At 35.5% G+C, this 21,570-nt stretch overlaps 1 protein-coding gene across 10 annotated transcripts in view; it reads right to left on the bottom strand.

Moving 5' to 3' along the window:
- The window catches only part of MLIP (muscular LMNA interacting protein), a 247,311-nt gene that overhangs the window by 225,510 nt on the left and 231 nt on the right, over nt 1-21,570 (bottom strand). The gene's annotated exons all lie outside the window — the stretch shown is intronic.

The following is a 21,570-nucleotide window of genomic DNA, read 5'->3' as shown; positions in this document are numbered from 1 at the left end:
ATGTTGCTGCAAAGGACATGATTTCTATCTTTTTTATGGCTGCATAGTATTCCATGGCATGTATGTACTACATTTGCTCTCTCTAATCCACCACTGATAGGCACCTAGGTTGATTCTATGTATTTGTTATTATGAAATAGTGCTGTGATGAATGTATGAGTGCATATGTCTTTTTGGTAGAGCAATCTATTTTCCTTTGCATTTAAACCCAGTAATGGGATTGCTGGGTCAAAAGGTAGTTCTGTTTTAAGTTTGGAGAAATCTCCAAGCTGCTTTCCACAGTGGTTGAACTAATTTACATTCCCATCAACACTGTGTAAGTGTTCCCTTTTTTCTGTAGCCTTGCCAACATCTGTTATTTTTGACTTTTAATACTAGCCATTCTGAAGACTCTTGAGCAGTCACCATTTACTCTCTTACCTCAAAAAATTTCTACTCTTTCATTGTTTTATTTTCTTTTTCTATTTATTGTTAACTGAAATTACCTTGTTTATTAATTTGTTGAATGGGTTATCATCAGTCCTCTCACCATCCACCACCTTAATGCTGGTCCCATGAAGACTGTGATCTACTGTATCCTCAGTACCTAAAATAATATCTGACACATGGTAGATGCTCAAAGGATATTTTAATAGATTAATGAATTACTAATGAAGAAGGTAAATAGTCTGATGCACATTAAGTGCTCAAAAATGATGAGAGACAATATCTCAACCTCTATAATTCTACAATGTTCAACACAAAAATATGTCCTGTTAACAAGTACCTGTGCTCTTAAATCCTTTTTCAGGCCAAATGCATTGGGTTTGCACAGCCATAGTCACTGTCTACTGAGAAGACACTTTCTGATTTTTAAATTCTCTAGCTCTCTGTAGGTGGAGAATTCTGCAGTTATTATTTGGTATTGATCTAAAATGTTTAACATTTTAGCGTGGCTGAACATTTCAGCCTACAACTCAGTACAACACAGAAAACATGCAAAGAAATCAACATAGATGATGCTTGCTTTATATGTTACATTACCTCTATTCTTTTCAACTTCATTTTACAGATTAAAAAAATCAAAAGACACTAAGTGATCTTAGGGAAAACTTAAACTTCACTGCTCTTAGTTTTCATATCTTGCTTGTTTAGGTCAGAGAATAAACCAACATTGTGCAGTTTTACACATGAGGCTAGCTCTCATGTGCTCATTTGAAACCAGATTCACAGATGAGCACCATATCAAAAATTTCTGATCTGTGTATTCATTCCATCTTTAAATCTGAGAGACACAATTGCCCACATTTGCACTATGCCAAAGATGCATGGTGTTTTCCATTTTGAAAGACAGGAGAGTTCTGGCTTTGAGATCAGCCTTGACCATTAATACATTTCAGTAGCATTCACCCATTTTAATCCAACATACTTATTCCTCTTCAGTTATTTTATTTGTGTTTGTTTTTAAATGGCAACTCCCAGAGTGATTTTCAGAGAAGAATGATTTAAAGTTCATAAAATGTCATCACACATTTCCATTTTCTCTAGCACATTACCCAGGAAACCAAGATGAAAGTCAAACTTAAATCACTTAAACTTTTTATAAAACATGACATAAAATTACTAGAAATTCCAATTTCCAAAGATCTTGTATAGTTTTGCTCATACCTTTCATTAGTGTAACTTTTATTGTTCAAAAATCAAAAGGATGGCAATCTTAAAAAGTTACTTAAATTGGTTATATAGATTTCTGTGGAGATTATGTGTCTCCCAGTTCAACCAGAGAAAAATTTCTCAATAGTAAACTCTACGTCTATTAAATTATATGATGTCTTTGGCGAGAATGTGCTCAAAATTTTTGCTAGTTTTCAATCTAATTTCGTTATATGAAAAGTAAATGTGGTTACTTACACATGTGATAAAATAGAAAACAATTTTAATTTGAGTTATTTTATGTAATAAAAACTGATTTGTTTGCTGGATAAGAAAATTAGATTCCAAAAAGAAACAAAAGAAAGCGATATATAATACATGCTAAGAAATTAGAGATTGGTAATGAAAACAAAAGTTCAGGAGACTTTTTAAGGACATCTGAAAGCAGAGAGCAAAGTGTCAGAAAGAATGGTTTTCTAGACATTTGGACTTCAAGGATCAGTAATTGTTTTTTAAGGAATCATCAAAACTTCATAAATATAAAGAAAAAATCTTAAAGCCAAAAAAATGAGGAATGATATAATCTCAAAAGAACAGAGCTTTTAATAAATTGAATAAACATAAATTATTCTAGTAAAGAAATTACAATTATTCTTATAAAGAACAGAGTTTTTAATAAATTGAATAAACATAAATTATTCTATTAAAGAAATTACAATTGTTCTTATTCTCCTCATTTACTCGAGTGAGTAAAACCTCGTCACAGACAAACACTAATCCAAACCATTTTTGACATCAGCCTCCTAGAGAACCTCAGGAATGAACAAGGTGCTTCTGAGATTTGCTTTCCCAGTCTTAAAAATCTCTTTTCAAGAAGTTTCAGGCCTTCTGATCAAACATAAGGGGAAACCTCACTGTGAAACTAACAACCTTAATTTATGCCAAAGTCATATCAAAGAACAAATATCTACTGATGGATTAGTTATCAGAGGGCATACTGAATAGTCTAGTATGTCCCCTTACTCAGGATCTTTTTATGGGTACTCATACCACATGTTAGGACCTGATCCTACCCGTGGTAAAACACTGAGTGCATTAAGGAGTGAGGTGAGGTGTGAATAAATATTTTCTGAACTGCATATATATTGATCTAGACGATTTTGTTATTTAATCTCATATTAAATCACAAAAATATCATCAGTAGATATTATTAACAATACTGAGATTACAATACACTAACAAATTTCAGGTTCACTGAGGAGAAATTGCCAAAGACAACCCCACAACTGGAGGGCATCAGAACTGGAATTAATTGTTTGAATCCAATATGATGCCTTAAGCACTCAGCACTGGTAACTTTGTTTTTACCATTACTCACTATCCTCTCCTGTGAGGACTCATGTATCTCTTTTCTAGAATAATCATTCTCCTGTCAAAATGTAACCCTAGGCTGCTGACCTTTGCTTTCTCAACAAATCTGATAAACTTCTGCAAATTTACAAACACCTCCCAAAGACTAGCAGACTACTCCTCCCCTTAGACATCATTTCACAACAGCAATGCCTTTACTGAAAACCATGATGGAGAACAGTGTTACTGTTTGGAGACATCTATTAAGCCTCTTTCACAGGCTTTAGATCTCATTCTCTCTCCCTGTCTCTCTCTCTCTTTCTCCCTCTCTATCACACACACACACTAACACACATACACACTGACACACAAGCATCTACTCAGTTTTGGTGTCTTATAAACATCCTTTGAGAAGCAATCCCATATATGGACTTATTTGATTGTGCTGGATTACAGAGTTAGTCCAGGAAAGCCATAGAAGATTAGCAAGAGTTCAGATACCAAATATGTGAATTGATGCATGCAGAGCTGCAGCTGTACGATGTACCCCTGTCTTCTTAGGGTTGTAGAGACACTGTAAGCATTGTCACCAATCCTTCACAGAGTTTACATAGAAGTATCCACCAAAGAAGATAAAATCAGCACGACATGTAAAAAAGCAATACAAATGGTTAGAGACCCCTTCTGACTGCCCAAACTCTGACTAGTCATAGTCCCATGTGTGGACCAAGGACAAGATTCATAAATATCACAAACATCTACTGTATTTCTCAAAGGGTAATACTGCAAGAATATTTTTAAGTCCTGCCATTGTCCACAAGTTCCCAAGAAGGTATATGTGTTTCTCCCCTAATCCCAACACCCCAGTTATGAAGTATTAACTTCCACTTGGTAGTTACTCAGAAAAACATATCAGAGACCCAACTTCTCTCATTTCCCATGCCACAGCCAGCCTGGAACCTTCCATATCTTGGCTATTGTGAATAATGTCACAATGAACATGGAATGCAGGTATCTCTTTGACCTACTGATTTCATTTCCTTTGGATATATACCCAGAAGTGGGATTGCTGGGTCATATAGTAGTTCTATTTTTCATTTTTTTAGGAACCTCCATATTGTTTTTCATATTGATTGTACCAATTCATATTCCCACCAGAAATGTACAAAAGTTTCCTTTTGCCACATTGTCTACAACACTTATCGTTGGTCTTTTTTGATTCTCATTAACACTCATTATTGCTGATCTTTTTGGGAACAGCCATTCCAGAGCTATTGTGTGAAAGAACAATAGTTTTCTGCTAAGTTATCAATATATTTGGGTAAACTTATAACAGCAGCTTAGACTACTCTACAAATACAAGTCAATTAGCCCAATATTTTTCCCATTAATACACTGGTGACTGGGAGTTCACTCATGATTTGGCTCTCTATTTGTCTGTTATTGGTGTATAGGAATGCTTGTGATTTTTGCACATTGATTTTGTATCCTGAGACTTTGCTGAAGTTGCTTATGAGCTTAAGGAGATTTAAAAAAAAAAAAAAAAACAGTGGTGACTAACTAAAATCACAGGAAAATAAACTGTCAAGACTTTTGCACATGTTATTTCTAATAATAACCCTTTGACATGGGTAGTATTATTATCTTCATTTCATAGATGAGGATTCTGGATCATAGACTTAAATATACAATGACAAGCAATAAAGCTTTAAAAATTAGGAGAATATCTTCAAGACCTAGGACTCAGTGAAGAGTTCTTATACTTGATACCAAAAGCATGATCTGTAAAAGAAAAAAAATGGTAAACTGGACCTCTGAGAAATTAAAATCTTTGCTCTGCAAAATATTCTGTTAAGAGGATGAAAGACATGCTACAACCTGGTAGAAAATATTTGCGAACCACATATCCAACAAAGAACATGCATCTAGAATATATTTTTTAAAAAACTTTTAAAACTTAACAAGAAGAAAACAAAAACCCCAATTAAAAACCAGGCAAAAGATCTGAACAGACACTTCACCAAAAAAGATATACATATGGCAAATAAGTACATGAAAAGATGTTCAACACCCTAACAATCAAGGGAATATAAATTAAAACCATGATAAGATACCACCACACACCTATTAAAATAGCTAAAACAAAAAATAATAATACCAAATGCTGGTGAGGACATAGAGAAACTGTGACACTCATACATTGCTGATAGGAATGTAAAATGGTACAGCTACTCAGAAAAATAATTTGACAATTCCCTTTAAAACTAAAAAAAAATGGACTTACCATATGTCTCAGCAGTTACACTTTTAGCATTTATCCCAGAGAAATGAAAACCCATTTTTACACAGAAATATATACACAAATATTTGTGCCAGCTTTATTTATAATAGCTAAACATTGGAAACCACACAAATATTCCTCACTGGACAAATCATTAAACTGTGATATAGCTGGAGCTATAACATGGAATAATACTCAGAAACAAAAAGAAACTGTGGATCCTCACAACTTGGACTAACTTTAAGGAAGTGATGCTAAGTCAAAAAAAGCCAAAAATGCTTGTATACAGTCAGGCATCGCTTAATGACAGAGATTCATTCTAAGAAATGAGTCCTTGGCAATTTTGTCATTGTGTAAACCTCATGGAGTAAACTTACACAAACTGAGATGGTATAATCTACCACACCTAGCAGTAGGTTATAGTATACGGCCATATCTGGGCTATATGGTATAGACTGTTTCTCCTAGGCTACAAACCTGTACAACATGTAACTGTACTGAATACTATAGGCAACTGTAACACAATGGTATATATTTGTGTATCTAAACATAGAAAAGGTACAGTAAAAATATAGTATAAAAGATAAAAAATGGCACACCTGTATAGGGCATTTACCATGAATAGAGCTTACCGGACTGGAAGTTGCTCTGGGTGGGTCAGTGAGTGAGTGAAGAATGAGGATGATGGCCTAGGACATTACTCTACACTACTGTAGACTTTATAAACACTGTGCACTTAAGCTACACTAAATACATAAAAATATTTTTTCTTCAATAATAAATTAATCTTAGCTTACTTTAATTTTTTTACTTTATGTACTTTTTACATTTTTTTAACTTTTTGACTTTTGTAATAATACTTAGCTTAAAACAGATACATTGTACAGCTATACAAAAAGTATTTTCTTCTTATCCTTAGTCTATAAGCTTTTTTCTATTTTTAATGTTTTTTAACTTTTTAAATGCTTTTATTATAAACTAAGTGAAAAACACACACATTAGCTTAGGCCTACGCAGGAGGAGCAGGATCATTAAGATGCCACTAGGCAACAGGAATTTGTCAGCTCCATTATAATCTTATATGACCACCATCATATATGCAGTTCATCATTGACCAAAACATCATCATACAGCACATGACTGCACTGCAAAATTTCATTTATTTAGTGTTAGTGAAATAATATAATTATATTTGCTAATGACATTGTTGATGAATATAGATGAAGAGCAGATTAGTGATTATCAGGGGTTTCATGTATCCTAGGTTTACACACTAACATAGAAATCTGAAAGAATTATTTAACATTAATTGAAGAGAAATTATGTTAGATATTTTCTTTTTGGTTCGTTTTTCGTTTGCAATCAAGACAAGACAATAATAGTTGACCAACAAAGTAGGTCCCCAAAAAGTAGTCAAAATTTTGGCAAGACAGCTTTGTATATGTGATATAAAAGTTATCACCTATCTAATTACATTTCTAGTGACATTTTAACGTGTAATCCAAATATATTTCCCTCTTTAAAGAGAAATTGTTTTAACAAGTTGTTAAGTAATGTTATTAACAAGATGTTAGGTAAATTTAGAAGAATGTTAAAGTACTATTACTTACTTAGAGTCTATAGTAGTAAGATTTTATTCCATTCCATGATGCCTAAACATTAGTCCAATTTTTCAAGAATGAAGAATAATAATGACCTCATGAGGTAAATGTCATCTTTGACTATTTGTTTATTACACATTGGGGTAAATACAAAGTATGTATTTCCTCTGAGGAGAATAGGAAATCATCATAAAGGGGTGATGGGGAGCTGAGGTTCTGGGCCTGTCATGAGAGGGATATAGGTGAGGGTTAGGAGAGTAGACCTGGATTCAGGCTGTCCTGAGGCCAACTCTTCCACTGGCTTGCTATGTGTCCTGGGCCACTGACTTAAGACTTAGTTCCACCCGGGCGTGGTGGCTCACACCTGTAATCCCAGCACTTTAGGAGACCAAGGCGGGTGGATTACGAAGCCAGGAGTTCAAGACCAGCCTGTCCAACATTGTGAAATCCTGTCTCTACTAAAAATACAAAAATTAGCCAAGCAAGATGGCACACGCCTGTATTCCCAGCTACTCTGGAGGCTGAGGCAAGAGAATCACTTGAACCCGGGAGGCGGAGGTTGCAGTGAGCTGAGACTGCGCCATTGCACTCCAACCTGGGCAACAGAGCGAGACTCCATCTCAAAAAAAAAAAAAAAAATTAGTTCCTCCAACTGCAAAATGGGAAAATAGCAACTACCTCCAAGATTCGTGGTGATGATCGCAAAGTACTTTACCTATTTCTTAGAACATGGAACGTGTTCTGCCTATTATCTATATCATGATCATCATCAGGCAAGATTACTCAGTTTATCTTAAACTATCAATCAACAGGGATTTGGTTTTCAATTCTGATGTTACATTAAAAAATTTAATTAAAGATGTTTTGTAAAAGTAATGTCCTGAAATATTTAGACTACTGGATCAAAACATCAATAGTTGTCCTATTATTAATGGTAAGACATCAATACAATCTGAGTAATAAGAAAAATGGCAGCATGCTTCTTTTCAGAATGACAGACAGCTTATTCCTTCTCACAATTATTGATAGATACCAATCTAAAATTGTACCTACAACTTTAAACACATGGGAAACCAAAAAATGATCCCTCTTTGGGAGGCCAAGGTGGGTAAATCACTTGAGGCCAGGAGTTGAAGACCAGCCTAGCCAACATGGCAAAACCCTGTCTCTACTAAAAATACAAAAATTGGCCAGGCATGATGGTGCACACCTCTAGTCCCAGCTACTCAGGAGGCTGAGGCAGGAGGATCTCTTAAACCCAAGAGGCAGGGGTTGCAGTGGGCCAAAATTGCACCACTGCACTCCAGCCTGGGCGACAGAGTAAGACTGTCTCAAAAAAATAAAATAAATAAAATCCCTTTTACTTCTTGAGTATTATAAAAACAAACCCAAACCAAATGCACAAAAGTTCCAGATATTCAGAAGTACTCTGCCCTACCTCATCATTATTGTGTATGGTTGTTATTGCAGGCTGTGATGGAGGAGAAGCTACCCCTCAGCACAGGATTTTGGTAGAATAAGAATAAAAATGTAAGCAAAATATAAATTCCTTCAAAATAAATATGAAAATTTTCAAAGGATAACCCAATTTTTATTGATTTCATAAGTATCTCTGTAATCATAACTGCCAGTGGTAAAGAATTTCATGATATCTGAAAATATCTAATAGATACTAAAAACCATTTTTATATTACTTAATTTTCACAAGGGAATTGTAAATATAACCTCTCATTGAGTTTTACTGGGTTATTCTTGAGGCAAAAAATGAGGCCAAATTAATCATCAAACATAGCATGAAAAAAATAGAACTCTCCTGTTCCACTTTCACCTACTCTCAGAAAGTTCCATAGTCTCCATAATTCTGTCATTGCTCTGTGAACTAGCACTTTGGCTAAGTGACGGGAGACTGCCATTCTCCTCCTGTCACACTCTGGTGATGCTTTTCCAATGACAAAATCTGCAATTCTGCCACCAATGCCATAGCTGCCTACTGATGGCCACACTATAGGGGGTAATCTGCCAGCAACAAGCATGCCAGCATTTAGTGCTTTGTATATCACACAAAGATTTCATGGAAAATTTTTTACTCAGCATGACTGATGAGGTTAAGTTGGAGGTCAATCAGAAGGTGGAGGCAGTCGGCCATGCTCAGGGTCTCTCATTTTCCATGAACAAAAACCATATCTCATCTGTCTCTTCCCTCAGGACAAGTCCCTTCCTGAAAAGCTCTTCATTGTCTCTTGAAAACGGTCTGTGAAAGTGCCAAACCACCAGCTCTCCAGATGTGGCTGAATATCAAGGTAAATTTAATTTAGACTTAGCTTGGGATCCCCGTCATAACAAATCGGATAAAGCGCATGCACACACATGTGCACACACACGCACACACACTCAGACATGTAAAACCCATCCTAGACAGTTCAAACAAGGTTTGAGTACCACTTTCCACGTATCAGGCTTACAAGGTGCCAAGAACATAGAGTTCCTGACCTTGAGGAGCCTGCAGTCTGCTGGTAGCCAAGGTGGTACAGGCAGAAGGATGTAAGCACTCAAGGCTTCCATAAATCTGCTCTCGGATAAGGAGTAAAGCACCAAAATCAGATGGCCTTGCATTCCTCTCTGACACAATCTCATTGAGTCAGCAAGATAATAAAAATGTGAGGTTACAGTACAATTTTTTTACAAAAAAAAATTACTCTGAGCTATTTGAAATCTTAGTAAAACTGAAAAATACAGTTTAACCCATAATATTGTTGCCTTTATTTGGGTTGTTAAGATTCTAGGGTTTGGCTAATAGGGCTGCACAAATATATTCACTGATTTACATGTTAATGTTCTGTCAACATGCATGATCTATAAAAGAAGCATTCCACTTTGCATAACATCTGTACTTTTGTGGAAAAAAGGAAAATACTGTCCACTATACCAAGGCCTTTACATTTCCTTGTATCATGTTATCATAGATTAGTAACTAATTCCCCTACTGTGTCCACTATTTTTACTTTTATAAACAATATTGCAATAAACATCATTAAACTAAATATTTGTATATTTCTTTGCTTCATATAAATGTCTGGAGTAAAATTATCTGGCCTGTAGGTAGGTAAATAATTAAGGTCTCCATACATATTATACTCCAGAAAAATGGTAGCAATTTATAGTCCTGTCTGCAGATGAGACTGCATATTTTTTAGAAAAATTCTTAAGTAAAAAAATTAATTAATTATTGGAAGTGTTGCTTTCCTAGGAAAATATCTTACGTGCAAGGAATAAAAATGCCAGATGAAGGTAAGAGGCATATAGTATGATACCCTGAACAGAAAAAAAAAAATAGTTGCTGTGTTTAAAATGTATTGAATCAGATTGTGCTGTCAATCGTGTACTTATGTTCTTCTTTTGAACATTCTGTGCACACACGCATGTACCAGGACTCCTTCCCTAACTCTCCTTCTTCTTACCTATATTCTTTACCTCCTACAAATGTCCCAACTTGACAAATCTAGCAGCTTTGGGGATTTTTAAATTAATTCTATGAAGCACATATTAGGTATAGTCCTAATTATTTGTACCTCACAATTTAGCATTTATTTTTACCTCTATGTAATGCTTGCATTCTTGTAATATAATTATTCTCCACTGAGATTAGGACATAACATCTTTCAGAATAGGCAGGATCTTTTAAACATTCTTGTTTTTGAAACTTTGTCACTTCACAGAACAAAAATACAATTAAAAGTTAATAAAATTTTCAAGGCACACTTCCTAGTGGGAAAGTAAGCATTGTCTCTGGTCTGATAGTTGCTTGAAATCATATGTGGTTTTTTTCTGAAGAAAACAATCCCCAATCACAAGTCCAGGGTTTCTCCAGACACAAGAAGTAATTTGTATACCACTGTGATTCTCATTTCTCTAATGGCTACCATACCACTTATTGAGTGCTTACATTTAGTTCATCTGACAGCTCTGTGAGGCAAGTCATAGCCCATTATACACATGAGAAAATGGTGGCTCATTTAGGTTAAGCACATAGGAGCCCAGATTTGATTCTTACCACCGCATCCCAGCATTTAACCACCAAAACCACTATGGCAAATGATTTTCTTATGCTAAGAAAAAGAGTAAAGATTATAACCCGTTATACAAGCTGAAATTTTCAAGCTTTTAGAAATGACATAATTTTGGTTATATGATCAAAATTTCTGGCATGCCAAATAACATAACTTATGCAATGATTTCACATAGTATATAGTATGATACCCTGAACAGAAAAAAAAAGTTGCTGGGTTTAAAATGTATTTGAATCTTTAGTCTTGGTCCATTTTTGCCGCTATAACAAAATATCTGAGACTGGATAATTTATGAAGAACAGAAATATACTCCGGGAAGCCCAAGATCAGGGTGCCAGCAGGTTCTGTGTCTGGTAAAGGCTCATTTCTCATTGATGGTGTCTTCTAGGCATCCTCACATGGTGGAAGGGACAGAAGGCAAAAAAGGGAGGAACACTGTGTCCTCACATGGCAGAAGAGCAGAAGAGAATGAACTCATTCCCTCAAGCCCTGCTAGAAGGGCACTACTCTCATCCACTAGGACTCCAACCTCACAGCTTCATCACCTCTTAAAAGCCCCACCTCTTCATACTATCAGTTGATTATTAAATTCCAACATCTGAATGTTGGAGGACACATCCAGACCGTAGCATCCCTCAAAAAAAGAATAAAGATGTTCCATAGCACCCATCATTTATTGAAATGATTTTCGAACACAAATACAGCATTGAGAGCAAGCTTTTAAAATAAATTGAGGGGCTTCTGGGTCAAGATCACTAATGGAACACACATGTTCATTTTATATTCTTCTCTGGACACTATTAAAATGAGAGTAAAGGAATGTTAAACCATAAACCCACAAAAATAAGAGACCTGGCAAAGAGAAAAATCAGTGTGAAAAAGCACATTGCAAATTTCTGGAAGATGAAAAGGAGATAGAGGTAGACAGCCAGATGAAGATGAGCTGCCAAGAAGAGACCTTAGTATAAATGACTTTGCAAACCCTGGAGGGTGCCAGAGTCAAGGAAGACAAATTCCACAAAGGCAAAGGCATGACTGTAAAGAAGGGCTGAAAAGAAGGAGATTCATTGAAAGCCTCTAAAACCAGCTCTTTCTTTTCCTTCCCCACCCCATGCAAAGATGGACCAGCAGGCAGGAGGTCTACAAGCTGTAGGCAAAGGATTGCTGGGCTGAATGAATGAATAAGCAGAAGCAAGTGGCACAACAAAACATGCCAGAATTCCAAAACTGAAAGCTGAGTTCAAGTGGAAAAACAAAATAGGGATGAAAAAAGGTTTTATTTCCCATATATTTCCTTCACATTCTAAGTTAATGCCCCACTCTCTGTGATAAGTGTATTAATTTATGCTAACATTTTCTTCCTTCAGCCTCCCACTATGACATGATATCCCCAGAGAAATTATAACAGGTTCAGGAAAGCAATCCTATGAGCTCTCTCAACTGCTCCTAAGACGAATGTCATCAAGTTGGTATTTAAAATCACGAGGTGGTCTCTAAATTGCTACGCTCTGACAGCTATAAGGGTACTAGGCCTATTTTGAAGACCAAGCTGGGGGTGGAGGGGGGTGTCTTCCCAGAAGCTACCCATGCAAGAAAATACCCATTAACTGAGAAGAAAATTAATAAAAGGACCCTTGAGAAATTTTTAGGTTATAAATAATAACAAAAGACCAGCAATTGAACTACAAACATCCTCTAACCATTTTTTTAAAAATCATCTCCTTATTTTCATGAAGGTCATGTAGCAAAATAAAGCAAATGATTCTCTAATACAATTCCATCACTAATACCACAGTCTATTTGTCATTCCCTTAGGGGAGCTGTACTTGAGACAGAACAACTAGATATATAATTGTAATTCTCACAATGAGAACCTAGAAAATATTTCGCCACACGTACAGTATGCTATATATGTCACTGTGAAAGCACAGCTCGGTTAAAGCCTGCAATCCATCTATCTCCTTTCTGTTATTCGCCATCACACAGAGCTATATCAAAAGATCCATTCAAACAGTGAGTCTCAGACTTACATTATCAGCAGACACTGCTTTAATTAGCAGTGGTTTTCAAAGGGCTGGATGGCTTCGAGAACTTGATTTGAACCATAAAGTAGAAATCTGGATCCTTATCAGTTTCACTTTTCAACTCTCAGCTCCCCTCCCTGGGTTCCAATAGATACAGCCCTCATTTTCCTTAATGTAAGAAAGAAAATGAAAATGGTGGCTAGAGTTTGGCAATACTTGTGCGTCCACTTTTTCCTCAACCACCAGTGATGCAGAGGGGCTAAAATTAAGGTTGCAAAGGAACTAAGATATCTGTGTCAGGTACGTTGCAGGGAGTGGTAGGAATGACAGAAAGAGAATGAATAAAAGAAACCATTTTTAAAATAACATTTAACACACAGATTTTATGTATATATGTGTGTGTGTGTGTGTGTGTGTGTGTGTGTGTGTGTGTGTGTGTGTATTTTTTTTATTCCAAATAAAAACATAGCATCCACTTTATTTTAGGTTAAGTGTGAGAAAATATAATGCTTTATTTTGGGCATTTCAATACAAACATTAAGGCACTTACATGCTACTTTTTTCATCTATTTCACAATATTTACCCATGATCCAATTCCTGAATCTTTGTTATTTCTCAGTGAAAACATAGAAAACTATGCAATTTAATTGATCAGTACTGAACTGTGAACTTTCTATTCTAAAAGGAAGGTTTCATCTAATAACAAGGACTTCTGTTTTACATTTGATCAGTGATAATATAAAAATAGAAACTATTTCAAGATTCCTAATGTTTGAATAAATAGGCATCATTTGGTATGGAAAGAATTTAATAAATCCACAGCCAGAGAGCACTTTTGATAGATGTATAAAATAATGAAGAGCATAGCAATATTTTCAAATCCAATCCAACCTTTCACTTTGTAGATAAAGAAGCCAAAGGTTAAGTGATTTGTCAAAGCCATACAAGCACAACTTTAACTGTATTACCTACCAGTCTCCTGGAATCAGATCTAACATGCTCCTCACCATACTAGTTGGCACTTAGGGAGAGATAGAAAACCTCTTTGGAATAAGAATCCTTGTCACCATCAACACACACACACACACACACACACACACTGAAGACACAGGTTCTTCATTTAGATTTTCATAGGTATGTGAATTAAACACCTGTACACACTCGCTTTTTCATTTTTCCAGTCTCTCCTCATTTTGCCATTATGCACATTAGGACTTTAATTCTCACTGCTTAGCAATTTCCCAATGATCCTCATGGTCCACCACTATCATAGCATATTTCCTTTCCTCTCTCTTTTTAAAATTTCTTGCTATAGATTCTTTTGCAATTTTTAAATTTTTGTTATTGGCTCAAAGGAGAAGAGGCCAGAAAGAAATTAAGATGGAATTATTTCTTATTCAAAAGAGATTTAAGTTTTTCAACTACTTAGTTTTTCACTTTGGTCTGCCAAATGATCAGGATTCACGGTTACTATTTACTACTATACTTCACCTGGGGTAAGACCAGAATTTTTTAATTACTCATAATGCTTAAGGGTTGTCTCAGTTATTTGGAGAACATTATCCTAATCATCAAATCTCTAATATCTGATGCAGAGAGATCAACCATATAATCCTCTTATTGACATCTCGGAAATGTCTTACCTCCCTAAGAAAGGGAAAAATTAATTAATTTTACTAAAAATTCAGGAGTGACACACTGTTCAGAAACTCAGAGAATCCTGGTTCCGAATTCCCTCCAGTTGCCTTCCAGCTGACGGATGCTTACTGAGAAACTTAACATGAAATTTTGGTCTCTACCACCCATCTGTTTTATGAAAATAATTATTTCCACAGGGTATTTTAGATGTCAACTCTGGATGCTATCTCTGGAGAAAAGTGGATAATAAATTTAAAATATACCAATGATGAATGGGCCATTGTGGGCGATGTGCCAAGTGGAGACGTAGAATGCACAGTAAGCAACACAAATACCTTAGGGAGGGCAGCTGCAGTCTTAAAGATGCTGAAGTGCCTACCATGGCCCATGACAATGTCACCAATAAAATCAAACATGAGCCGGCAGCTTAGGGGAGTTAACGTATGGGGGCAAAGCAACTCACTCACATCCTCTACCATCAAAATTGTCCCTCAGACAAAAGGAACATCTAAGGCAACTTTATCAGTTGAATCCAAAACACAGCAAGAGTCATTGCTACTCTTATGAGTAGCAGAGACAAGGAAGGAGGTTTCCAAAATAAATGATGTAATGCCAAAAAAATAAAATATCATCGTTTGCATGTTTTTATCTTTCTTTCCTTCATTTAGGTCATCACCAAAATTAGTTTATTAAGAATGAATGCAACCAATTGTGGTATAAAGATACATACATCCAGTACCTTACCGCCAGAGATTTCCTACTTATTAAATTTAATTTGCATTTATTACTTATTTTATTATGTGAAGTTGCCTTGTAAGGAATAACATATAGATCAGAAGCAACATTCAAGCCATACGGAAAGTAATATCTAGATAACACATCAGAAACATTGGCAGAATAGATGACTTGTTTTGGGGCATGTCAGGGCCTTCTGAGTGAGTGCCTGTTACCAATGACTCTAGTTAGACACAATTAGAAAGAGAAATAAATATATAAGTAGATATTATGGCAGAATAAAACATGTTACAGGCCGGGCGCAACGGCTCACGCCTGTAATTCTAGCACTTTGAGAGGCCGAGGCGGGCAGAGTGCCTGAGCCCAGGAGTTCGAGACTAGCCTGGGCAACAGAGTGAAACCCTGTCTCTACTAAAATACAAAAAAAAAAAAAAAAATTAGCTGGGCATGGCAGCATGTGCCTGTGGTCCCAGCTACTCGGGAGACTGAGGCAGGATAATTGCTTGAACCCGGGAGGCAGAGGTTGCAGTGAGCCGAGATCATGCCACTACACTCCAGCCTGGGCGACAGAGTGAGACTCCATCTCCAAAAATAATAATAATAATAATAATCATGTTACCATGTTACAGCATAAAATGCTTTACAATCATTCCCATTGTTAAGACATTCTGAAGAATAATTATAGACTTGCTACCACAGGTCCATGTGAGAAACTGAGGTGTCAATGGTTTGTACACTTAGAATGTTTCTGAGCGGCTAAAACCTATCATTATTATATCATAATGTACTTAAAAATAATCAAAGCGTAATAATTGCCTTGAGGGCTAGGACTTTATTATGTATGTTCCCACTGCAGCCCTTAGTACTCTGTCTTATTCAAAATAAGTGTCTAGTGATGTATACTGATTTGAAAGTCTGTTTTGTTTTTTCTGAGTACATTGTCATCCAATAGGCACTAGGTTGCATCTCTGAAGACACTCACCAACAACACCCAGACCTGTCATCAGATAATGATATGAGGAATTAGAACCAAGCACGAATCTCATGTTTTTTGTTTATTAACAGATTTCTTCTTAGAAAGTAATTAATTTTATTTGTATTAATGAAGCTATGAATTAATAAATAATTTAGGCTGGGCATGGTGGCTCACACCTGTAATCCCAACACTTTGGGAGGCTAAGGTGGGCGAATTACCTGAGGTCAGGAGTTCGAAACTAGCCTGACCAATATGGTGAAACCCCATCTCTACTAAAAATACAAAATTAGCTGGGCATGGTGGCCCATGCCTGTAATCCCAGCTGCTGAGAAGGCTGAAGCAGCAGAATCGCTTGAACCCAGGAGGCGGAGGTTGCAGTGAGCCGAGATTGCACCATTGCACTCCAGCTTGGGCAACAAGAGTGAAACTCGAATTCAAAATAAATAAATAATTTAATTAACCTTATTTAAAGAGCTATCCTTCACTGAATTATCACAGAATTCTAAAATTCTTTGTAGCTTTACATTTTAACAACAGTTTGTTTGTTTGTTTTCCATTTCTTTTCTCTTTTGCTGTATTTAAAAATAAGTGGTATGGGCCAGGCACAGTGGCTCTCGCCTGTAATCCTATCACTTTGGGAGGCTGAGGCGGGTGGATCACCTGAGGTCAGGAATTTGAGACCAGCTTGGCTAACGTGGAGAAACCCAGTCTCTACTAAAAATACAAAAATTAGCCAGGCATGGTGGTGCACGCCTGTAGTCCCAGCTACCCGGGAAGCTGAGGCAGGAGAATCGCTTGAACTCGGGAGGCGGAGGTTGCAGTGAGCCGAGATCGCACCACTGCACTCCAGGCTGGGCGACAAGAGTGAAACTCAGTCTCAAAAAATAAATTAATTAATTAAATAAAAAATAAATAAATGGTATGAACTCCTTTTTCTGAAATCAAGAAGAATGTTATTATGAGATCATAAGTAAATTTACATATCATTGGATAAGTCTTTCGCTCTCAAATTCAAAATATATCAAATTTTTAAATACAAAAAGTAAAATTTAAATTATTTAAAATATAATTGTTCAGCTCCTTATATTAGATATATGCTGTTAAAGAAAACTAATGTCAGATGACCTGTTTTCTTTCTCAATCTCAAAGAGTTGCTTTTTTACTCAAGGTAGCAATATTTATGGCATTTAGAAATTGACCACTGTGTTGATTTGATTGTACCAAGTCTCAATATAAAATAAGTTGAATCATATACTCTTCTTGTTATCATTATTATTATTATTATTATTATTATTTTTTGAGATGGAGTCTCGCTCTGTCGCCCAGGCTGGAGTGCAGTGGCGCAATCTCAGCTCACTGCAAGCTCTGCCTCCCGGGTTCACGCCATTCTCCTGCCTCAGCCTCCCGAGCAGCTGGGACTACAGGTGCCTGCCACCACGCCCGGCTAATTTTTTGTATTTTTAGTAGAGATGGTGTTTCACCGTGTTAGCCAGGATAGTCTGGATCTCCTGACCTCGTGATCCGCCCACCTCGGCCTCCTAAAGTGCTGGGATTACAGGCATGAGCCACCGCGCCCGGCCATTATCATTATTTTTGTAATATTACTGAACATTCATTATTTGAGAAGATAAAATTGTCTTGAGACATATTATGTTAATACAATAGAAATTATTAAATTTATGCATGAGATCTGTTTCTTCTTATAATCTCTTAAAGAAACCATTATTTATCAGAATGCCCTGAGGTACATGATCATTTTTACTATAGTAATAAATGATTTTTTTTTCCTTTTCATTATGAAATTTCAGTAGAAGGTAAATATAAGTAATACTCTTTGTTGATGCACTTATAGTCTTAAAGACATTTGGAAAATAGTCAAGATTTGTTGTCTTAGTTTTACTTAACATAATACATAGAAACTAGTACCTATTTCTTAAAACTATTCCAGAAGTAACTTCATGTTATAGATACAAATATACCCAGCTTGAATGTATCTCTTTGTCTATCATTATTCCAAAAATGCAACTCAAAAATAAAATCAGACTACAAATTCATATGCTAACAGGTCATTTCCTAAGATATGTTGCAGAGAACACTGCTAGTTCCTCAGAATATTCACTGTTATTGCACACACATTAAAATATATTACAGTGATAGGCGAGTTTAGGAAACACTGGATTAACCTCCAGAGTGCCTCACAGTCTTTAGTATATTACAATACAGATACGAGTCTCCAAGGGGAAATGTGTTGTATAGTGCATTTCCTGCTCAGTGTTTTCTGAATATTCTTGAACACAAACCAGAACTACATTTTGGGAAGCATTTTGGAAAATCAGAATTCCCAGGAACAGAGTTTAGAAAATACATGATAGGAAAAACAAAAGATCCATTCAACCTCAACAGCAATTATGGTGGAACTAACCAAATTGAAACATATTGTTACAAAATACTTTCCTCCTTTCTTGCACCTCTCTACCATTTCCCACAAAAATTAGCTTTATTGTCATCTAGCAGAATCAATGACTAAGATATTCCACATGATTTAATAGATGGTTTTCAAAGAGGTGGAAATGTCCTTTTAAGTCCATGTTAATTGATTTTTCTTCTCATGTTTGAAATATTGGAATAACATCAACCAAATTATGAGAAATTTCACTTGGCATTGGTAGATTTAAGAAATTTTGAAGAATTTGATATCATTCCTTTATTTCTGATTATGTATTGATTAATAGATGTAAAAGAGTCACCTTGAATTGGTTAAGTACCTAGCAATCTTTTAATCAGCAAACAGCAATAAACTCAGGGCAAAAATCAATACTTAAAAGTAGCAATTCACTCACCCAGGGTAAGATAAGATTTATATTGGATGTGTAGCAAAGAATCTTGTTTTACTTGTGTCTTGCCTTTGTCTTATTTTGTCTTGTTTTATCTTTGTGTGTAATAAACTGATGAATTTTTAAATTCTGCAGACTGGTGACTTTCTTACTTATTTACTATAGATCTTACCTTAGAAATTTTTTCAAATAAACCCAATAATACATATTGCTTAAGTGCGTGACACATACTATAGCACTGTTCATAATAAAGATCCTTATGAGAGATACAGCTTTAATTTTAACAAACGTATAACACAATATTATAATGTACACATATTTAAATATTTTAATGGAAAAAATATTTTCTTCTTTTAAAAACCAGACTTTTACGAACTTTACTATTTATAATAAATAAATTGAATAAATTTCAGAAAATAGTGAACTCCACAAAAATACATTTTTCAACTGTCTTCAGCAACCTAGCCAGTCATACTGTGTTACATTGGTATTAACATGAAACATAATGCTCGATGAACTGAAGTTTTTGGATATTTATTCACATAAACAGCCAAAATAACTTTTATTGGAAACCCTCAAAGATATAGATTTTCCAACTCTCTTAAATAGAAAATACTAAGCATAGGCAAAACTTTTCTTGATAACAGTGTCATCAGAACTCCTGTATCTGAAAGGTGCCAGGTTCCTTAACTCTATTTGCTTGTACACTTAACTACCCCAGACACTGGGCTTTCATGTGTTCCTGCCACCCCTAGAACAGCCTCTCTTCTCAATGCAGGTGAATGTTCGTATGCCTCTGATGTGCCGCCATATTTCCCCGCAATCTTTGGAAGTCAATCTGAGGCTAGACCTAGGCCTCTGCTACAGAGTAATGTTCATGAGTTTTGTGACAGCTACTTCCTCTAAGGAAAGGTTTTTGCTCACTTCTAGATTTATAGCTGTATTCAAGATAGAGTCAGGCATGCACAATGTCTGACTTTCCAGAAAGTGAAATGCTAATACATCGAATCACTTCGAATAAGAAGAGTCCATCTTCACTTTGTGCACTTGCCCCATGTCCTCTGTTTACTCGCAAAACTTCCTGTAAAAGACTGCCAGGAAGCTCAGGGTCAAATTTCACACTAATTCATAGCAACCAATTATTCATGTATTTAGTTACTCCCTATCTGGTTTCATAAAGGTTTTATGACCACTAAGCCTTTATGCTTACCATATCTGGGTTTCCTTTTTACTTTTAAATGCATTTTAACTTTTTTCTTTCCATATTAGTAAACTTTGGGCATGTGCTTTTTAAGTGAATCAGACCAAAAACAGTTTAAAAATAGGCTTAGGCTAGGGACTTCACATACATTATAGTTTTTATTCTTCACAAAAGCCTTCAGATTAGTTATTACTGTTCCCTATCTTACACATGAATTAACTGAGACTCAGAAAGATTAAACAAAACCATGGTCTTATATTTGGTAGTTGTGGGCAAGAATTTTCACCAAGCCCTTTCTGATTCAAAATCCCTGGTTAGCTCTACAAGGACACATGGCCTTTCCAAATAGTCAGAAAGGAAAATACTCTGTGGCCATTACATGTCTGGACAATCACCTAGGGCAGAGGTACAAAGTGGGTACTGAAAATGATGACCTGATTCCTTTAAGAAAAGGTTGTGTATTTTATTAAATATATTACTTTAAGACCTTGAAATTCTAATACACTTCAAGAGTTTTCAACCCAGTATGGTTCTTTTTTCCATTTTTCTAGTTTTAATATCTTGAATAGTCCATAAACCTCAACTTCATACATCTAGAACAATGTATTCCCATGAATTTGGTCTTATTATGGGCTATATTATCTTACTTTTTGTTATTTATGCTGATATTAACATTAGTTATGACCTGTTCCAATGTTAACTCTATAACCACAGTAAATTTACAAACATAATTAGTGACCTATGCTCATCAGATGAGCCATGGACAGCACATTTAACTCAAGGTTATAGTCTATTTTGTATTTGAGCAAATGTAAGTCACCATATTAATCATTGACATTTAATTGCTTAGTATCAAGGCAAAATTACTTGTATAACTTCTATGGCAAAAAACTTTATCCTTATACCAGAAGTTCATTAAACTTAATAAAACATTAATATATTCTATAATACTTATTTTTCTTGGCATATATTCCTGGTATCTCTGAGAAAAAATGGATTTGAACACTCGCTAAGCTTCGCATACGTAAATAAAACAATCTTCCAGTGCTGAGGCAATCACAATGAGAGGTCAAAATAAATGGATTCCAGTTTTTAAAATGACGATAAACCACATCATTTAACTAAATCAAATTTGCCCTCATTTGTGTAATGGCATTTTATATATAACTTTATTACATTATTTTCAGGAAAGCCCATGGAACTCATTAATTTTAAAGTTATTGACCAGCA

This window comes from Homo sapiens, chromosome 6, assembly GCF_000001405.40.
Source record: "Homo sapiens chromosome 6, GRCh38.p14 Primary Assembly".
Classification (NCBI taxonomy): Eukaryota; Metazoa; Chordata; class Mammalia; order Primates; family Hominidae; genus Homo; species Homo sapiens.
Note: the sequence above shows the minus strand (reverse complement) of the source record. Positions and strands in the feature narration are given on the sequence as shown.